The 21,963-nt window shown below is 42.6% G+C and overlaps 1 protein-coding gene across 20 annotated transcripts in view; it reads left to right on the forward strand.

Moving 5' to 3' along the window:
• Window positions 1-21,963, forward strand: part of RYR3 (ryanodine receptor 3) — a 555,136-nt gene that overhangs the window by 387,641 nt on the left and 145,532 nt on the right. For all 20 annotated transcript variants that reach the window (XR_001751370.2, XR_001751371.3, NM_001036.6 and 17 more), the window contains 3 exons: window positions 1,097-1,226; window positions 2,370-2,473; window positions 8,312-8,447. Coding sequence is in view for 18 of the 20 variants with exons in the window: in NM_001036.6 (NP_001027.3) it covers window positions 1,097-1,226; window positions 2,370-2,473; window positions 8,312-8,447 (370 nt within the window). In the remaining 2 variants the exon portion in view is untranslated. The remainder of the gene's footprint in view (window positions 1-1,096; window positions 1,227-2,369; window positions 2,474-8,311; window positions 8,448-21,963) is intronic.

Here is a 21,963-nt window from a genome sequence, read left to right on the forward strand (position 1 = left end):
GGAAATTCCAGAGTGCCAGGGTCCTAGGAAGGGATGATTTCTGGTGCAGTTTCATCAGTGCTACTGGGGAGGGGGTGGGTGTGTAGAAGGAACAGAAGCCAGGGTCACGTTCCTCATGGGCTTCCTTCTGATCTCTTGGGAAAGTGAAATCTCTCCAGAAGATCCCTGAGCACATGTCTGGATGCCTCAGCGAGCAGATAGACTACAAGTTTCTGAACCTTATTGCTTAGAGCATCCTCTGTGATATTAAAGGAGGAAATCAAGGTTGTCTTAGGATCCCGAGCAAGGTTAACACTGGCACCATTTATTGAGCACTGTAGGATCAAAACTAAGATTTGGCCCAACCTAGAGATGCTGGTTACTTTGTTAAGTAGAAAAGCCAAGTACAATCAACAGTAATGTAAGATGGCATCTTCATGCTAGACTGCATGAATCAAATTACAAGTGCTATGGAATCCCATAGAAGAGCAATTATCAATGACAAAAGTAGTCAGGGAAGACTCAGAGAGCGATGCCTTTCAGACTTGCGTAACTGTAGAGGCCAGCCTTGACCCAGGGCACTTGGGCTTTGATATACTGGTGGGCCTTATGTGTCTACGATCACCTGTGTCTGTCTGTCTGTCTGTCTGTCTCTCTCTCTCTCTCTCCCCCCCTTTCTCTCTCTCCCCCCTCCTCACTCTCTCCTCTTTCTCTCCTCACTCTTTCCTCACTTTCTCTCCTCACTTTCTCTCCTCTCTGTCTCTCCTCTCTCTCTCATCTCACTCACTCTCTCTCCTCTCTCTCTCTCTCATCTCTCTCTGTCTCTGAATTCTGTCCACTCCCTTCCTACTTGGAAACAATAGCCTGGTAGAAGGTCATGCAATTTCACATGACTTCCGAGGATGATTGGGATTCTTGTTTGACATCTATTTCTCTTGGAGGAAAGATATTTCAGGAACTATAACTCCTATGAATAAGTCTTGAGAAAAAAAATGGAAGGAGAAAGTTCATTTTTCCAAGTGTTCACACTTTACCCACTTAAGACTCTGAGGTCAGAGTTTTCAGAAAGGCCTCATGATAGATTCTTTTGTCTGACACTTTCTACTTCTCCCTACAGATTGCATTTCCAAAGATGGTTGCTAGCTGCTGCCGTTTCCTTTGCTATTTCTGTCGAATTAGCCGGCAAAATCAGAAGGCCATGTTTGAGCATCTGAGTTATCTTCTGGAGAATAGCAGTGTTGGCCTAGGTGCGTAAGTCTTCTTGTAACTTCCACATCCAAACTCGAAGGTTACACTCCCCCTTTTGACCACTTAGGAAAATACAGGGAAAGGAGCCACATGCACGCTGTGATATTTGTAAATACTAGAAGAGACTCTGCCTGATTTAAAACAATTGAAGTAACGATGCCACAAGAACGTTCTCCAACAGAAGTAGAGATGTTGCTACCAGCCAAGATTGGTGACAGTTTAGTGTTGGCATAGTCGTACAGTTTTACCTCATCTCTCTTGGGACCAGTGGCCCATGGTTTACAAAATGCCCCTGGGATTGCAGGTATAGTCTGGGGGCACAGCTCTTCCCAGCCCACTCAACTGACCAGGGAGCAGTGCTGATGAGACCAAGGTCATGGATCGGATCTCGTCTTGGCAGGCTGGCTGCAGGCTGCATACCTGTCCATCAACCTCCCAGCAAGTGCTTTCCTTAGCGGGGAGGCAGACTGGCCAAGAGCAATCGTGGATAAACAGTGTAAATCCACCACTACCACTAGAAAAGCAAGTCACTGCATATGCCTTACTCACTGTTCTGGGTATAAACGAAATGAATGTGTGTAATACACAAATACTTGCACTTGAAAACTGAAGTTTCACGGGTTTTTATTTCTCAAATGCAACCTCAGGCTACTAACCTTTTTGTAAAATGCCACCTGAAGTTTTTCTTAATTCTAGCCTGAGAACCAAACAAACAAGTCAAAAACAACATTGGTGACCTGGTGAAACTATATGAGCTAATGCTGTTTGATGCTATTTTTAAACTCTAGGTGGTAGCCCCAGAAATATACAGGTTCCACTGGGCTTAGTTGGTCGAGTGGCATCTGATATGGGGGCCTCAAGAAGTTTTGTGTTAGAAAAGCACTTGGAAATACATGGTCCCGGTTGGTAGTGTGAACCGATTTTGTATTAATTCGTATTCACGGCAATGAATGTGGGGAGGAAGGATAGCTAATAGAGCTGTTCTTAATGCAAGCGGACTGTCCCATTGGAGAACGGTCATGTAAGCCAGGTTTCAGTGTGTTTGCTGCCCTCTCCTGTCCGCTTACGTGCACTGCAGTCTCAGCTCAGCACTGAGTGTCTTCCTCTGTCCTTTTCTTGCTAATTCTCCCCTCCTCCCTCAGCCTCCCCGTCGATGAGGGGATCCACCCCGCTGGATGTGGCAGCTTCCTCTGTGATGGACAACAATGAGTTAGCGCTGAGCTTAGAGGAACCAGACCTCGAGAAGGTAACCGGCCCTTGGGGTGGCAGTGTGGTGTTCTCTTCGGCCTGTAGTGCAGCTAAGCTAAGGATAAGCAGACCACGGATGGAGTCTCTGTCACTGTATCGTCATCTTGGTGGGCTTGTAGGGAAAGTGTGAAAGAATGTGAGTAACCGGTAGCAGCACAACGATTATGACCAAGGGATCTCCTGTGAACACAGGTAGCCAACTTCAGAGACATGTGGACATTTGTGTTCTTCGTGTGTGGAAGCCCAGCCTCGTTGGTCTACATGGAACATTACCAGATGCCGGTGGTTCCTAATAAAGTTCTGCGTAATTTACAGATTTATAAATCTACCTATGGAAGGAAGAGACATGGCAGAATACTGTATAATCAGTGTCCTTTCCATGTGTAACTGAGACAAACTGAGCTGCCCTCTGCTGGGAGTGTGGATGAAGCTCCTGGTGGTGGAGCTGGTTGAGGCGGCCTCACTACGTCTTTTCCCCATCCCTTTCTTTAAATGATGTCCTTGACCGGAGGGCTGACAGGATTCACAGTGTGACCTTCTGAGTGGAGCAGAGCAACCTGGAGGGGGAGGGGGGTGGAGAGGAGGGACGTGGGCAAGTCAAAGACAAATCAAAGGTCATCATTATGTAGGGGGTTTGGGAGCACACGGAAAAGGGCACCTGAGCCTGACTAGGGGATTGGGAAGGTCACTCAGAAACAGTCATGACTTGAGGGATGAGTAGAAGCTGATCAGCCGCATTGTTGGGGAAGCATGCCAGGGATGTTTGCATGTCCGAGAGGAGAGTATGGCGTGCTGGGGAATAGGAGACTGGGTATGACTGAAGCACAGAGTACCTGGGGGATGTGGTGAGAATGCAGCAGAAGCAGTGAGGAATTGAACTTATGCTACCATTTCTATTACTAAAAGAAATTCATGCTCATACACTGTGCCAGGCTTTATTCTGAATGCTTCCCACAAATGAACTCACGTGACCCTCAGACCAAGCCCTTTCATTGTTGCCTGCCAGTTACGGGCAAGGAAGTGGAGGCATAAAGAGATTGGGTGGCATCCTCAGTGTCATGCGGTTAGTCAGTGGCACAGCCAGGCATCGAGAGCGCTGGGCTGTGGAGGCAGTGCTCCTACCCATTTTATTACAGGAGGTCACCGTAGAGCCAAGAGTGGTGGAAACCACTGGAGAGTATTAGGCAAAGGGGCAACACGATACAATTCATATTTTAGAAAACACCCCAGTTTCAGTAAGAAGAACTGAACAGAAACAAGTCTTGAGGCAAGGAGGAGAGTTTTGGTAGTAATCAAAGCCCAAGACTGTGCTGGCTTCAATTAATATTGATGCAGTGGGTGTGAGAAGCGTTTGAAGCCAGGGGACCGATCTATCACAGGACAAGTTGCAGCCATTAATTAGATATCAGTTCAGCCCATGTTTTCCTCCAAGGAGTGCAGGAGGTAGAGCAGATCTGAGGAGGCCGGCGATGAGTTTGGGGTCTGTCAAGTTTAAGGGGCCCCAGGGCTCCCAAATGGCATTGTCAAGTAGGGAATTGACGACCTGGCAGTATATCTCAGGAGAGCTCTCTGAGCTGCAGATAGAGCACACAGAGGGTGGTTGAAGCGCTGGGGGTACATGAGGTGACTCCAAGGGCTGGTCTGGAGCAAGAAAAGAAGCATAGCCAGGCCAGAGCCCTGAGGACCACCAGCATATTTAAGGGAGTCGCTGAGGAAAAGGCACCAACAAAAAACAGGAAGAGGAGCAGCCAAAAGGATGAGAAAACCCAGCAAATCTAGTATCTGAGAAGCTGAGAGGGAAAATTGAGAAATAAATACACATTTTTTTCTTCGTGTCGCATAGTGAACGTGGGGTGGCTCAAAGAAGACAGGGTGAGGAAAGAGAGAGAGGGGTTGTCTTGATTAAACGATTGTGGCAGCAGATGGCCTTCCTCTAGCTGAGGCAGCCACACAGAACACAGATTTACCACTCACGAAGATTCTGCTGTTTCAGGCCTTGGCAGAGAATCATTGGCCAAGCTGCAAAACCATGTCTGATCTATTAAGATGAGATGATAATTACCCACCAATAATTCGTTGACATTTTTCAGTTAGTAAATTCTATTTCAAATGCATTCAACTGATAATTACTGAGGGCCTATCATGAACCAGACAGACAAAACGCCCGTGTTTGTGCAGCATATTTCTAATGGGAGGAACTTTCCTTGTAGTCAGAGAGGATATTACTTTGCTGGGGCTGCCATAACAAAGTACCACAGGTTGGGTGACATAAACATCGGAAATTTATTTTCTCACAGTTCTGGAAGCTGGAAGTCCAAGATCGAGGTGTGCGCAGGTTTGGTTTCTTCTGAGGCTTCACCTCCTGGCTTGCAGATGGCCACTGTTTTGCTGTGTCCTCACGTAGTCTTTTCTTTGTGTGCACGTATCCTTGCTATCTCTCTGTGTGTCCAGATTTCCTCCTCTTGAAGGACATGACCCCAACAACTCAGTTTAACTTAATCACCTCTTTACAGCCCCTATATCCAAATACAGAAACATTCTGGGATATTGAGGGTTAGGGCTTCCACATGAAATTTGCGGGAGACAATTTAGCCCATGACAGAGGGGTTTGTCTTTGAGTTGGTCATTTTATTTTGTTCTTTAAAGTATTTTGAAATATCAGACATTTTTACAATAATATTTTGAGGCGACAAATTTAAGTGAAAGCATTTTTTTTTATTTTGTCAGATTCAATCAGTATTTCCAATGGACTTCATTGGGTCCCTTATAAATCATTAAGTTAAAAGCAGGAATCAAGGAAAGAATCTATTTACTGGCCTTATCAAATATGATGTTTATCAAACAACCCAATACCATAATAATACCATAATAGAAGAACCTTGCTTTTTAACATTCTGTTAAAAGAGGGCAGTCATGGTGGCTCACGCCTGTAATCCCAGCACTTCAGGAGGCCGAGGCAGGTGAATCATTTGAGGTCAGGAGTTCAAGACCAGTCTGGCCAACATAGCAAAACCCCATCTCTACTAAAAAGAAATACAAAAGTTAGCCAGGCATGGTGGTTGGTGCCTATAGTCCCAGCTACTCAGGAGGCTGAGGCAGGAGAATTGTTTGATCCCGGGAGGCAGAGGTTGCAGTGAGCCGAGATCATGCCACTGCACTCCAGCCTGGGAGCCTGGGTGACAGAGCGAGACTCCGTCTCAAAAAAAAAAAAAAAGAAAGAAAAAAATCTGCTGAAAGAAGTCCCAGTCAATATAACTTACGGTTAACTTTAATAAGCAATCCCAGCTGCAAACGGAGTAAGTGAAAATGACCAGACCAGAGGGAAATGTTAGAAGTTGCTCCTCCAGGCTCTGTAGGCCTGTGTTGTGAAGGGTACCAGCCACCTCCTGCATACACACAAGACTCAAGCACCATGCCACCTGTCGTGAGAGCTTCCATAAATGCTGTGTCTATTCATGGTCTCTGCATCTAGAGGGAGAGACCTCAGCCAAACTCTGTTATTCGTACATTTAGATGACAATAAATAGCTCAGTGTTTTAGGTGGTATGACGATAACCGATGCTTGTGTGAAAAGCAGCTGAATGGGTCTTTTTGGACAAGGCAATGCCACAAGGTTTTGAACTCCATATCCTATTCTCAGCCTCAGTTCATCTTTTGAAACAGTGTTGCTCAGCAAAGACATGGAGCCTCCATTGGAAGAAGTCAGATGTGATTAACGCAGGCCAGCAAGCTGGAGAGGGAAGAAATGGGCGCTTTGGGAAATCTGTAAAGGGGATGAGGTTTGCCACACCGTTTTCAAGTAGTTGGGGTGGCTTAGCACACTGCTATAGACTTTATTCAGCCCAATGTCAGGAAATTACCCAAGTTTGGTTCACAGGAAAGAACAGCAAAGGACTGGTATGCTGGAGTTTCTTCCTTCTATTGATCACGCCAGAAATTAGATCATTTAGGATTGAACAGTAGCCCTACCCCAACACATACACACACGCATATGCACACACACATGCACACACACTCTTTCTCTCTCTCTCTCTCTCTCTCTCTCTCTCTCTCATATGGGCAATTATAGCAGCCTGTGAAATGTCTGCACCTGCAATCTTGAAAACTCTGCCCAATTCTGGCCCTTATTGATGCTTCCCTGACATTTTAAAGACAAAATCAAATCTGAACTCTAAGCAGAATATTATCTTTACTGGTTTAAGAAGGAAAAAGTGTGGTGATAGATTCTTGCTGAGTTTGGCCTTATTTTTATTATACTTGCAAAATAGAATATTTGACATCAGCAAGTAAGTGATTCATTGAACAAACATTTATTGAACAGCTACTATGTGCTAGGCCCTGGAGGTTAAAAAAAATCTTAAAAAACACCATCTCTGACTTTGAGGATTTTGGAGCACTGTGGATTCTCCTCTTCTCTGTGTATACATAAGATATCAAAGGTGAAATTAGAATAGCAACTGCGTTTTAATCAAAGGTATATTTGCCAGGCTTTTTGCCTGAAAGCTGCTGAAAAGTAGAACAGAATCTAAAATCTTCTGTAAGATCCTAGCACAGAGATCTCGTGATAAGTGTCTGGTAACCTGGAAGCAAAGAGACCACCACCAGTCCCAGTCCTTAATGGATGGGGATCTCTTTTTCTGGCCATCCCAACCTCAACATCTTGGCTTTTGACTTTGGACAGCTGTTGTGGATGCAGAACGAGAGTAGACACCCCTGATTACTCAAGGGCCCACTCTGGGTCAGTCAGTGACTGAATATTGTAGCCTTGCAATACCATGGCCAAGTGAACATGGCCCGCCCCCAGTGGGCCCTTCTTTTCCTGCACTGTTGTCTCCCCAGATGTACGCTAGCTAGGCTTATTTTTAAATGACAGCTCCCTCTTGCCAGAACTGGAAAAACCAGGAACTGACAGTACATGGTGTGTTCCTACATAACAATGATAATCAATCTTGTTAATCACTTGGAAACAAAAAATGAATTGGAGGCTCTTTCTAGCCTCCAGGGAAATGGAAGCCTTTCAGTTCTTAGAATTTCACAGGCCTCACAGCTATCTTATAAAAAAAAAAATAAAAACTTGAGCAGTTCTTTCTTTGTTTGTTTCTTACATACGTGTAAGATTTATTTTTAAATTTTATTGTGTTAAAATACACAAAATATATAATTTACTATCTTGATCATTTTTAACTGTATGTGTAGTATTCAATACTTTTGTAATGTTGTTGAACTGTCACCACCATCTATCTCCATAACTCTTTTCATCTTGTAAAACTGAAATTCTAGACCCACTTAACAATAACTTTCCATTCTTCCCTCCCCTCCCCCAAGTCCCTGGCAACCACCATTCTACTTTCTGTCTTTATGGGTTTTACTACTCAAATTACCTCCTATGAATGGAACGATACGGTATTTGTCTTTTTGTGACTGGCTTATTTCACTTAGCGAATGTCCTCAATGTTCTTCACGTTGTAGCATGTATCAAGATTCTGTTCCTGTTTAAGGCTGAATATCCCATTGTACGTATATATCACGTTTTGCTTATTCATTCATTCATCCATCAGTGGCCACGTGGGTTGCTTCCACATTTTAGCTTTCAATTATTTGGGGGTATATACCCAGAAGTGAAATTGCTGGATCATATAGCAATTCTGTTTTTAATTTTCTGAGGATCTGTAGTACTGTTTTCCACAGTGGCTGTACCATTTTACATTCTCACCAGCAATGCACAAGAGTTCCAACTTCTCTACATCCTCAACCAACACTTGTTATTTTTTGAGGTGTGTTTTTTAATAGCCATCCTAATGCGTGCGAAAGAACACTTTTGTACTGTTTCTGGCAGGTGGTGACCTACTTGGCAGGCTGTGGCCTACAGAGCTGCCCCATGCTTCTGGCCAAAGGATACCCTGATGTCGGCTGGAACCCCATTGAAGGGGAACGCTACCTGTCCTTCCTGAGGTTTGCTGTCTTCGTGAACAGTGAGTCCCACATTTTTCCATACCTCTTATACCCAGAATAGCATGATCGTGGATACCTACAAGGAAAAGGATATCCTTTCCATTGCTTCTTATCTGAAAATAGGGGGTTGGTGGCTGGCAAGAGAAATCTTAGGGAGAATCACAGGTGTTTGGTGGCTGGCAAGAGAAATCTCAGAATCAGGCCAGACAAGGATAAAGAGTAGAGTCCAGTGAACAGAGCACTGAGCATTAGTCCCAGGTCCAGCAAGAAACTCACCGCAGAGAGGTCATCTCTCTGCACTGTAAAAGGGGGCCTTATGAATATCATCATTAATACCTCACCTGTTTCACAGAGCTAAATGCACATGTACATCTAGATCCCTGGACTGTTGGATGGATGGATGGATGAATGAATAAAATCAAGTATAACTGAGTAGCTGTAAAAGATAAGTAAACTCCCAGGAGAAAAAAATTGCTATAACAACCCTAAATATTATTTGTCATAATACAATCTACCTCCCATTTATAGTGAATTCCAACACAACCAGAATTCTTTAGTTGCTCTGGAATAATATGCTGAATATTATGTAAATAAGTGGGGTACTTTCTTGAAAATGAGCCTTGCCTCCTAAGAATTTTTGTTATAATACTAATTCATTTGTATTGACATTATAGTTATAGTCCCTCTCTGTTCTCTCAGTTTGGGGTTCCAGGCTAACAAATTGCACTAAGCAGGTTAGGTGATCTCAAAGAGAGATTGCAGCTAACACACAATCATGCCAGTTGTTCTAAGAATTTGTCTCAAAATATGTTGATATAATGTGATCATTATATTCCCGTGTGCTTTTCTTGTTGTCTCTCTACCCTCCCATTTCACCTGCTTACTTTTCTTCACTGTACTATACTATAGTCTTAATATTTAAATGGTTTCTTTTCTCCTTGTCCTGGTTAGATTGCAGGCCTTGAGGTGGTTGCTTGTTATCCCTGGAACCCACCCAGCCAACTTCCTAATCAACTCTCTCTGCTTCTCTCTGCGTATTCATCACTGCATCCTTCTTGTTTATCACCAGCTTTGCTAACCTCCATTTTCTTCTCTTGAGGGCAGTTTTAGAGTATCCTCTAATAGCCTGGTTCACTTTGTATCCAAATTATCACATGTCCAGAATTAACACGGAGTTACTGTAGGAGTAAAGCAAATTTGTGGGTGTATGAAATGGATATTAAGAATTTATACAGCTCGCCAAATTATGTAAATAGATTGTTTGCAGACAAATCTGATCAAGGCAGAACCAATTTATTCATCTTGGTCACCTTCACAGTCAAGATCAAGAGCTTTTTGAGTCATTTTATGAGACCATCTACCTGGATCGTGAAGGTAAAGGAATCGACTGGCTCTTCTTCTACCCGGATTGCTAAATTCTAACACTTGCTTTTGTGGGTTAGGTACAACAATATTGAACTAAACTCTAGACCAAAAGGTTTGGTCCACCCCTTTTGTTTTCAGGTTATTTTATATCTTTTCAATATATTTTCTGCACTACAATTCTATAATGCAACAAACTCTGGCAAACTGGCCCATCAATAGAAATATTTGTGGATTTCAGTTTAATGTTTGTCTCTATAATAGTGTTATATATATAAAGTTTCGGTGCCACAAAAGAAATAGCACTTGAATATAAAATTTTCTTTTTAATTCTCAGCAAGGCAAGGTACTTCTTTAGAAGGGTGTGCCCTTACAGATGGAGCAATGGTGAGCACACACTTGGACAAAGGAGGGGAGGGGGTTCTTATTCCTGATGCACGTGGCCCCTGCTGCTGTGTCGTTCCCCTATTGGCTAGGGTTAGACCGCACAGGCTAAACTAATTCCCATTGGCCGATTTAAATAGAATGACGGGGTGAGTGCTTCGGCGGGAGTCAGGACAGAGCAGGTAGCAGGTAATCAGAATAAGTCAGGGTGGAGCAGGTGATCAGAATGAGTCAGGGTGGAGCAGGTAATCGAAAAAGTTTGCTTTAGGAGGAAGTTAGGTTTGAAAGTAGAAGGCAAAGAATTGAACATAATGACATATTAATTCTTTGAAAAGAAATTTAGAGCTCATATCTAACAGTAGCCGTGTCTAGTTTTGGCAAAGGATGTCAGCTTCTCCTTTCAAAGAATTTTCAGTCTTTTAAGGGGAGCAGACATGGACAGAGATCACTACAATAAAAGTAAGTGGAGTAAGGCAGGGAGAGAGCACTGAAGGGGTTCAAGAGGGGAAACTTATATCTTATTGAGGAGATCAGAAAAGGCCTAATGGAGGAGGTGATGTTAGAGATAAGCTTTGAAAGGTCAAGTTTCCAAATACATAGATTCAGTTGAGAAGCAGCATGTACAGTAGCTGAAAGGCTAAAGCATGCTGTGCTCAGGAAACCTAGTGCTATTGTTTAAATGTGTCCCCTAAAAAGCATGTTTTAGAAACTTAATCCCGAGAGTTGGGAGATGGGGCCTAATTGGAGGTGTTAGGTCATGAGGACCCAACACCTCATGAATGGGTTAATGCCCATTATAAAATGGCTGGAGGCCACGAGTTCAACATCTTGCTTTCTTGTGCACACTCTCTTGCCATGTGATGCCTTCTGCCATGTTATGATGCAGTGAGAAGGCCCTTAACAGATGCACCTCCTTGATCTTGGACTTCTCAGCCTCCAGAATCATGAGCCAAATAAACCTCTATATTGTATAAATTACCTAGTCTTTGATATTCTGTTATAGCAGCACAAAACAGACTAAGATACCTTAGTCTGGAGGGTAGATGCATGGATGGCACTGGTAAGACATGCGGTTTAAAAGGTAGGTGGTTATAATGGGGAAAACCTAAATGCCAAGTTGAAAAGTTTAGTATTGATTCAGCGTGTAGAGAGCTGTAAAACTTTTTAACAGAAGAGAGACTGATGGGTTGATACCCACTCATGGGTTCTGTACTCAGGTTAGAATAATGAGTTTCTAAATTATTATGGTGTTGGTAAAATGGACTAGAAGAGATACATTTGAAAGAAATTACTGAGGTGGAATTCACAGGACTGTATTAGACCATTCTTGCATTGCTATAAAGAAATACCTGAGACTTGATAATTTATTAAGAAGAGAGGTTTAATTGGTTCACAGTACTGCAGGCTTTATAGGAAGCATGGTGCTGGTATCTACTAAACTTCTGGTGAAGCCTCAGGGAGCTTCCGATCATGGCAGAAGGCAAAAATGGACTAGGCATGTCACATGGCGAAAGCAGGAGGAAGAGAGAGAGAGTAGAGAGGCTGGAGGTGCCATACACTTTTTTTTTTTTTTTTTTTTTTGAGACAGGGTCTTGCTCTGTCACCCAGGCTGGAGTGCAGTGGTGCAATCTTAGCTGACTGCACCCTCGACCTCCCAGCCTCAAGCAATCCTCCCTTCTCAGCCTTCCGAGCAGCTGGGACTATAGGCATGCCAGTGGCTCTACCATCCTGGGGTCTGGAGGGTGGCTCCCCACAGCTCCACTAGGCAGTACCCCAGGAGGGACTCTGCATGGAGCCTCCAACCCCACATTTCCCGTCTGTACTGCCCTAGTAGAGGTATTCTGTGAGGCTCCACACCTGCAGCAGGATTCTGCCTGGGGACCCAGGCTTTTCCATACATCCTCTGAAATCTAGGTGGAAGCTGACAAGTGTTCTCCACTGTTGCATTTTGCATACCTACAGGCTTAACACTACATGGAAACTGCCAAGAGTTATGGCTTGCATTCTCCAAAGTGGCAGCCCAAGTTTTAGCTGGGCCCATTTGAGCCACAGCTAGAGTTGGAGCAGCCAGGATATATGGGGAGCAATATCATGAGGCTGCCCTGGGCCTGGCCCACAAGTTAATTCTTCCCTCCTAAGCCTCTGGGCCTATGATGGGAGGGGCTGCCATGAAGGTCTCTGAAATGCCTTTGAGGCCTTTTCCTCATTATCTTGGATGTTAGCACTTGGCTCCCTTTTAGTCATGCAAATATCTCTAGTAAGTAGTTGCTCTACATCCTACTTGATTTCCTCTTCTGAAAAAGCCTCTTCTTTCTCTGCCACATGGCAAGGCTGCAAATTTTCCAAACTTTTACACTCTGTTCTTGTTTAAATAAATTTCCAACTTTAAGTCATTTATTCATTTTCACATCTGAACATAGGTTGTTAGAAGCAGCCATGCCACTTCTTTCTTTCATTTTTTTTTTTTTTTTTTTTTTTTTTGAGACTGAGTCTCGTTCTGTCGCCCAGGCTGGAGTGCAGTGGCATGATCTCAGCTCACTGCAAGCTCCGCCTCCCAGGTTCATGCCATTCTCCTGCCTCAGCCTCCTGAGTAGCTGGGACTATAGGCACCCACCACCATGCCTGGCTAACTTTTTGTATTTTTAGTAGAGATGGGGTTTCACCGTGTTAGCCAGGATGGTCTCAATCTCCTGACTTCGTGATCCACCCGCCTCGGCCTCCCAAAGTGCTGGGATTATAGGCATGAGCCACCGCACCCGGCTACCAGGCCACTTCTTGAACACTTTGCTGCTTAGAAGTTTCTTCCACCAGGATACCCTAGGTCATCACTCTCAAGTTCAAACTTCCATCGATCCCTAAGGCACGAACAGAATGCAGCCAAGTTCTTTACTAATGTGTAATATGCATGACCTTTGCTCCAATTCCAAATAAGTTCCTCATTTCCACCTGAGACCTCAGCAGCTTGGACTTCACTGTCAGCATTTTGGTCACAACCATTTAACTGGTCTCCAAGAAGTTCCAAACTTTCTATCATCTTCTTCTGAGCCCTACAAACACTTTCAATCTCTGCCACCTACCCAGTTCCAAAGCTGCTTCCACATTTTCAGGTATCTTTATAGCAATACCCCAATCTTTGGTACAAATGTTCAGTATTAGTCCATTCTTGCATTACTCTAAATAAATACCTGAAACTGGGTGATTTGTTAATAAAAGAAGTTTAATTGGCTCGTGGTTCTGCAGGCTTTACAGGAAGCATGGTGCTAGCATCTGCTTGGCTTCTGGTGAAGCCTCTGGGAGCTTTCAATTGTGGCAGAAGGTGAAGGGGGAATAGGCACATCATAGGGTGAAAGCAGGCATAAGGCAAGGGGGAGGTGCCACACACTTTTAAATGGCCAGATCTCTTAAGAACTCACTGTTGTGAAGACAGCCTCAAGCCATGAGGGATCTGTCCCCATGATTCAAACACCTCCCACCAGGCCCCACCTCCAGCATTGGGGATTACAATTCAACATGAGATTTGGGCAGGGACAAATATACAAACTGTATCAAGGACTGAATGGTGATGATGATGGCTGAGCCTAGGTATGTTGAGAGAAAAGGAACAGAGGTCACATTGAAGCTTAAAGATTTTTGAGGGTAGAGAGAAAGAAATAAGGATGTCAGAAGAAGCAAAATGGTTTGAGATGGAAGGTAATAAGCTTGGCTTGGGTCACATTATATTGATTTTTCTGTGTACAGTACCCATATAGAGATACCCCTAATTGAATTTGTAGGATAGAAATCAATCAACAGATTAGAACTAAGTAGATTTGCAGTCCATTGGTAGCTCAAATGCTTCACAGTAGGTTGCCACAGGTGAAGGCATGAAAAAGAAAAATGTGGAGAGTATGAAAAAGAAAAATGAGAATATTTCTGAATACTTAGGAGGAGGAATAGTGGCTCAATCACAACAGAATGTTACAGAAGAGTTTGGAGTAGAGAATGGAGTAACTTGGGTTCAAATTTGGCTCTATCATTTACTAGTTGTGTGAATTGAAGCAAGTTAGTCAAAATACCTAACCTCAGTGCTTTTTTATGTGTAAAACAGAGATGATAATAATGTATGCCTCACAGAGTTGTGAGGCTTAAATGAAATAATCCATGGAAAACTTAGATCAGCCCAGTGCCACAAACCTTATAAACTTGTAGTTATGATAGTTGTTGTTCATGATCTTTACGAGAGTGGTAGGGCATTTGAAATGGGAAAACTGTAATAAACAGATTTCTTTGGAATCTCAAAGCCCTTTATAAGTCCTTATGTCTAAAAGGTGATTCAAAAGGACTTTCTGAATACCTTTGTGAACTCTGCTCAGCAATGTAAGATAAAAGTGATATAAGGAATCGTGGCAGATGATGGAAGTATTCATGGTGGGTGATGGTAGATGATGGTGGGTGGTGGTATATGATTATGGTGGGTGATGGGGTGTTCATGGTGGGTAATGGTGAGTGGTAGTGGGAATTGTGATAGTGGGTGATGAATGGTGATGATGCTAGTGATAGTGGAATATGATAGTTGGTCAGTGGTTATAGTGAGTTGTAGGGTGACTGAGGTGGGTGGTGGTTAGTGAAGGTAGACATGGTGATGGTGGTGGCTGATGATGATGGTGATGATGGGATATGATGGTTGGGTGGTGCATGGTCATATAGGGGGGTTATAAGGGTGAGTGTGGTGAATGATGGTGAGTGATGATGGGGGTGGTGAGGGTTGTGGTGAGGATAACAGCTAACACTTATTGAGCATTTACCATGTGCCAGGCACTGTTCAAAACACTTTTACATATATTAACTTTAATTATACGACAATCCAATGAGGGAAGCATCTTAGTCTGTTCAGGCTGCCATAACAAAATACCATAGACAAGGTAGCTTATAAACAACGTAAATTTATCTCTTACACTTCTGAAAGCTGGGAAGTCCAGGATCAAGGTGCTGGCAGATTCAGTGTCTGGTGAGGTTTCCTGGTTCATAGATGGTGCCTTCTCACTTTGTTCTCACATGGTGGAAGAGGCAAGGCAGCTCTCTGGGGCCTCTTTTGTAGTGGCACAAATCCCATTCATGAGGGCTCTGCCCTTATGACTTAATTACCTACCAAAGGCCCTACTGCCTAATATCGTCACCTGGACAGTTAGGATTTCAACATGAATTTTGGAGGGTGGGGGGGACACGAATATTCAGACCATAGCAAGTGGATACAATTATCTTCATATTGTAGATGAAGACCCTGAAGCTTAGATTAAATACCTTGCCCAGAGTCTCATAGGTAGTAGAAAGTAAAGCCAGAAATTGAATCAAGCAGTTTGACTCCAGAGGCCACAGTTTATGAACCATTGTGCACTGTTGTCTTCCTGTCTCCCTAATCAACAAGGAGAAACAACATTTTCTCCTTTGAGCTTGTCAAAAATGGTGGTATTATTTAATCACTGTTTGGTGCTAATTTTAAAAATTTTAAGCCATATCAAAAGCTTTTAATATATCAAAATAATGGAATTAGAAAACTCTTTCTAACATTAATTTACTATTATTTCTTAATGTTTGTAGTAAATCTTCTTAAATATTTGTCTTTAAGAAAATGTTTTAAGGCATATAATTTGCTTCACTTTATTTTTATTAGCTGTTGAGAAGCCTTGGGTTGTGTTTAACTCTGGAAGTAATGAAGTCGTTAAGCTTCTATTTTCCCCGCAGTTGCAGGCACTGTAGCCAGGCTAAGCACAGATGTGTTTGGGTGTCTGTGATTAATCCCTTCCTATTGTAGACTCTGAGAAGGAAAAGGTTTCCTATCAATCCACAAGAAAAAGGGAAAAGTTATTCTGTGTTTTCTTAGAGTCCTTGGAGAGTTATAGCGATATCTTCCCCAGACTACAAACTTAGTTTAAGGAACATAATATCTCCTAGCTTTGCTGAATCTGCTTTCCTAGGTAGATTTATTATCAGTGGCCATAACTTGGACATCCATCATGTGACATGTGAAGAGTCTATGAGGGGCTGTGAAACGTGATGCTCTAGAAGTCCTGCCCAGAAGTCACTTCCTACAACTCAAAGCAGGAAACAGAGAAAACCCAAGTAGAGTGATCAGAAACATGTATGGAATAATTACTAAAAACTTTGTAATCAACCACACCTACCTACATAGTGACACATGAGACATTGGCATGCCAAAATGATGGTGTTTATTGGAATCTGGTAGAATTAGTCAAGGGATGCATGAGGAAGAAGGCAAGTGTTGAATAACATCTTGAAATAAATGGATATAGTTTAACAAAGTCCTAAAGGGAGAGCATATGGATAGACTGTTGTGCTGGGAGACATACATCTTTTAGGGTTGAGAGTACAAAGTGTCATCTTAGCTTTGAAGGGCATACAAGGTGTAGACACTTAAGAATCATCTGGTTTATTTCTGCCCTTGTATTCATGTTTTTAGAGTCAGAAAGGGCATGTTAACCATTCTTCAGTGTGATTGGTACTAGACTAGGCATGGTTAGGACTAAATGTGTGACACATAGTTTTGTTCTCAAATTTATAAAACAGTTGAAAAGATTCAGCAAGCTCTTGAAAAATTAACCAATGGCAAAAGATTTAAATAACAGTTTAAGACAAATAGGAACAACATCGCAATGTTGTACTCAGGAGATACAATCATGCTAGAGTGATAAGAAGGTAGAATATAAGGTACATTTGAGATATGGCTAGTTGCAGCTGGATTCTTAACATCTATGTTACACCTTTGTACTAACTGTAAGGTATCTTAGTCCATTTATACTGCAGCAACAAAATACCTGAGACTGGATAATTTATAAAGACAGAAATTTATTTCTCACAGCTCTGAAGACTGGGAAGTTCAAGAACAAGGCACCAGTAAGATTGATGTCTGGGAGGGCTGCTGTCTGCTTCCAAGATAGTACCATGTTGCTGCATCCTCTGGAGAGGAGGAACACTGTGTCCTCACATGGCAGAATCAATTGAAGGGCAAGAGACCATCCCTTCAATTTTAAACCCTTTTATAAGGGTACTAATCCCACTCATGTGGGCAGAGATCCTTATAACTTAATCACCTCCCAAAGGCCACACTTCCTAATACTGTTTAATATGGTTTGGATGTTGTCTTCTCTGAATCTTATGTTGAATTCTCATCCCGAATGTTGGAGGTGGAGCCTGGTGGGACGTGTTTGGATCATGGGGGCAGATGCCTCTTGGCTTGGTGCTGTCCTCACACTAGTGAGTTCTCATAAGCTCTGGTTGCTTAAGTGTGTGGTACCTTCCTCCCACTCTTTCTCTCGTTCTCTGAGACACCTGCTCCCCCTTCATCTTCTGCTATGAGTAAAAGTTTCCCAAGGCCTCACCAGAAACCAAGCAGTTGCTGGCACCGTTTCCTGTATAGCCTGCAGAACCAATGAGCCAATTAAACCTCTTTTCTTTATAAATTACTCAGCCTCAGGTATTTTTTTATGGCAATGCAAGAATGGCCTAACACACTGTTGCATTAGGGATTAAGTTTCAACATAAATTTCGGAGGAGGCACCATGATTCAAACCATAGTATAAAGCGTGTACAGTCTTGCATACCCTACCTTCTTCGTTCTCCCACTGGACTCCCTGGAATCTTTATACCTGAGAAAAGGAAAGGAAATCTATCAGACAGGTAAAGGGCTTCTAGTGACAGAGGCAAGGAAATGTGCCTCCATCTGTAAAAATTCAAAGTGAAACAGCATCAAAGTCCAGAAATAAGCAGACAGTCAAAACAGTACCAGTAATAGAAAACAAATTCCTCAAATAAAGAAGCCAATGGCAAACCTAGGCCCAGAGCACCAAAATGAGGAAAGCTGGCTGGGGTGAAAGGATATCAGCTACATTCTTTTCACCCTAAGTGAATTTCTCAGCAGCTTGCCTCCAAGGCCCCTGTGGGATTCCAACGATAGTGATAACTGAGTGTCTTGGCAGTGGACTCAAAAGTCCAGAACCTACTTAATATACGTATGTGGATTTCATCAACCATTTCATTGATAAGAGTAGTAAGTGAAGCCTGATACTTCAATAAAACTAGAATTAAGCTGAATGAAACAAAAAAAAAATCCACTTCATCAACATTATTCACACAAAATGGCAGTATTATGATCCTTGTGCCCATCAAAGGCTGATTTTCATCATCTTATTGAGAATGCCCATATTTTGTCAGAGCACACCTTCTGACTTCAGGTTTCTATGGCATTCAAGTTTTATTTGGCATATTTCATGAAAAAGCTACATAGACCCAAACTCTAGACACATGGGCAAAATCTTAGCACAATTCTGCGATTAAATACTGGCCTTCAAAATATCTGGGCTACTACTGCACCATCCACCCTGCATGGTTTCATGGCTTTGAATTCCACGTATACACTGATGATCCCCAGATGTACTTTGCCAGCTTTGTCCTCTTCCCTGAGCCCCAGACTTGTATATCTTGGTTATCTACCTGGTATTTCTACTTGAAGGTTTAATACGCATCTTAAATTTTGTACATCTTAAAGCTGAGTATGTAATTACCACCCAAAACCCGTTCTTCCCCGAGGATTCTCCATCTCCTTAACTAGCTCCACCAACTTTTCAGATACTCAGACTAAGTCTAGACAGCATCCTTGAATCAACTTTTTTCCTTATTCCCACATCCAGTCCATCACCAAGTTCTGTTGATTCAGCATCTAAAAGATATCTGAAATCTATCTTCTCTCCATCTCCACTGGCCACTTTCTACTCCAAGTTGTTATTATCTTATACCTGGGCCACTCTAAGTTGTGTAGGAGGAACTGAATTCCCTCCTTCTACTCTCTTATATTGGCCTGCATCTGCTACATAATAACTTCATAATCTCAAAGGCATAAAATAATAAGCATTTATTTCTTACATATCTGCAAGGTGGTGGGAAAGCTCTGCTGCAGGTCCACAGGTCTGCGGGGGTGGCTCTGTTCCACTGGTCTCATTCTGGAGTTCAAGCTTGACTGTCCTGGTTACTGCTTGTCTGCTGTCTCTAGGTCAGTTACTAGCATGTAGTGTGGACTCAATGGATAGTTGAATTCATTAATAAATGGGCAAACAATTCCTGGTTTGTTCTCTGTGCTATCACAGTGGCTCTTAGACATATCTCCAGTCCATCCCTTCCCAGGCTGGAAGGCCCTAAAAAGAAGATGGTATGTCCTTACTATTTGGAATCACTTAGTTCATACAAGTTGCCTGGCACCCTATCAAAGATGGCATTTAGCAAATAGAGGTGTTGGATCCTGGCCATTACCCTGCCCCTGTGATTCTCTAAATTAATTAAATGAGTGTCAGTACATTCATTCATGCTGAAGCCCCGTGTTCTCTCTTACTGAGGTGGGACTTGATTGGGAATATGTTTCTTTTCTTTAGGACTAATTGAAATCTGAGGTAGTAGATGATGCAGGCTCTTGTAAACAGAGGCTGATAATTGCCTGGGATAATGGAACAATGGGTAGCCACCTTTGGTTTTCCATCCAGTCATTCCAAGTCTCTGCCTTGAGTCTCAATAAAGTCTATTGACTTATTGAAGAAATATATTTTTTGAATGTTTGTGATATGCCAGATGTTAGCAAGACCCTTGAGCACACAGTGTTAGATAATTCAGACACAAGGCCCTGTTCTCATGGCATGTACAGTCTAATGGGGAAAGCAGGCACAAAGGAAGAGGACAGGGTGTTTGAGAGGAACAGGTCCTCTGGGGTTCCCATGTTTAAGCTCCTCCTGAAGGATGAAATGGAGTTACCTAAGTTGAGGGTTTACATCAAAAGAATGGGAAGAAAAACAGTGTTCCAGACAATGGAACTTTAAAACAGGAACTAGAGTTAGAACACAGAGAGTGAGAAAAGTGATGGGCTGAAGGTTAAATAATTATTTCCCTGCTAACTGTCCCTGTGGTGGGTATGACTGTTTTACCAGGGTAAAATGGGGAGAATCATTTCCATTTCCATCCAACTATTCAGGAACATCGAAAAGAAAACAGTAACATGAAGACAGTGTTGAAGCCTTTGAAGAAAGGCACTGTGAACATTCATGCTGTTATTAAGCTCATTATTCATATTAGAACTCAAGCAGAAAGCATTGTTGCAAGCCCTTGGGCAAAACTAGTTTACCTCAAGTCTCTCTCTCTCCCCCTTGAAAAATGCCCTCAAGGTCAATATCTAGCTTTACCACAATGGATTTGGTTAGCAGTGAAGCTTGCTGAGCTACAGGTAATTAGGAAGAGACTGTCTCTCCCTCCTAATCATGCCATCCTCTTTGCCTTGGGAAGCCTTTGGAAATTCTTTTCCTTGGTCCCCTGTCTAATTAGCAGCAATGGTTGCACTTCAGCTCCTTCGTCTTAGAGCGTGCTCTGCATTCTCCACAGATGTCCACAATTCAGTAATCAAGGGCCGGCTTCCTGGGTCACTTGCAGGAGCAGACCCAATTAGTTCAGTTCTGAAGGCCTGAGACTCATAAAATAAGGTTAATTGGGCAAATGAATTTCAATCGCAAGCTCAACGTAGAACTCACAGTCTGATTTTTCAACTTCTGCATATTGTGGTTTTATATCCCACCAACTTCGTGATGCCAATCACTGTGGGAAAGGCTAAGTTGAATTCAACATGCTGGTAAAATCGGTGGCTGACCCACAAGCATTTCCACCAGGTAACTGAAAGAATTATAGTATTCAAATAAGCTTGATTAACAGAGTTGGGTTTTTTCCTCCATTTTTTTATATTTAAAATTTCAACGTTTTAGCTTTATTATTCTTGTAGTGAGAAATTACAACTGAGAGGGCTGATGTATGTGCTACCTGATAAGTACTGGAGGCCAAAACCATTCGAAAGTAGTGAACTGTGAGATACGTCCATGTCTGAGACCACTGGCTTTTAGAAATGTAGATTCTCCTGGGGCTTTTCTGTAAGTATCCCTCCTGTGAGTAAACTGTATTAGGTATAAATGGTAGGTTCAACTGATAGGAGAGCATGGGCATAGCACTTGACATCATACCCTTCTCTGGTCTTCTACAAACTGTACAATGTCTTTCAACCTCTCCTTGGTTTCTCTTTTTCCAGAATATGTTGATTCCTTCCACCATCCCATTATTATGATAATTTTACCCTTTTAGTATCTCCTGAGAATTTTCTTCACATGGATTCTGGTTTAATAAAAACTGATTGTTTTTTAGTGTGTGATACATTGGATAGAACTTGAAGACAAACTTCTTTACAAAAATTTTAGACTCTTGAAGGATTGAGCTATAAAACCGTGAATGGAAGCTGATTAGCTGTTTAAATTCAGTCTAATAAATTTTTTTCTGGATTGAGCTACGCAACTCTAAAACTTAGAGTGGTACATGCTTACAATCTTGGATTTTGCCCACAGTGCAAAAGCTTGAGTGATAAAAGAGGATGTCAGCAAGCCAAGCTCTAGGACTGGACTACACCTGTGGTCTGAGGTAGACTCTTCAGGGCTGTGAGACACATTCGGTATGTTCAAGATTGAGTTTGGTGTGAGAGGTGAGCCTGAGTTAATTACAGGCATTCGGACAGCAAGCTCAGCTGCCACCCCACCCCATCCCCATTCCTCTGAGCATCATGGGAGAAATCTCTGCATCTGAGTTAGACTAATAGAGTCACTCTAAAACTAGATGGAGCATGCATATCTGAAAAGGGGAAAGATCCAGTGAGATTGTGCAGTGTGTGTATTCACACAGTGATGAGCTAAAGAGCTGGAACAAGAAGATTTTCTGGGTTCTCAT

This window comes from Homo sapiens, chromosome 15, assembly GCF_000001405.40.
Source record: "Homo sapiens chromosome 15, GRCh38.p14 Primary Assembly".
NCBI lineage: Eukaryota > Metazoa > Chordata > Mammalia > Primates > Hominidae > Homo > Homo sapiens.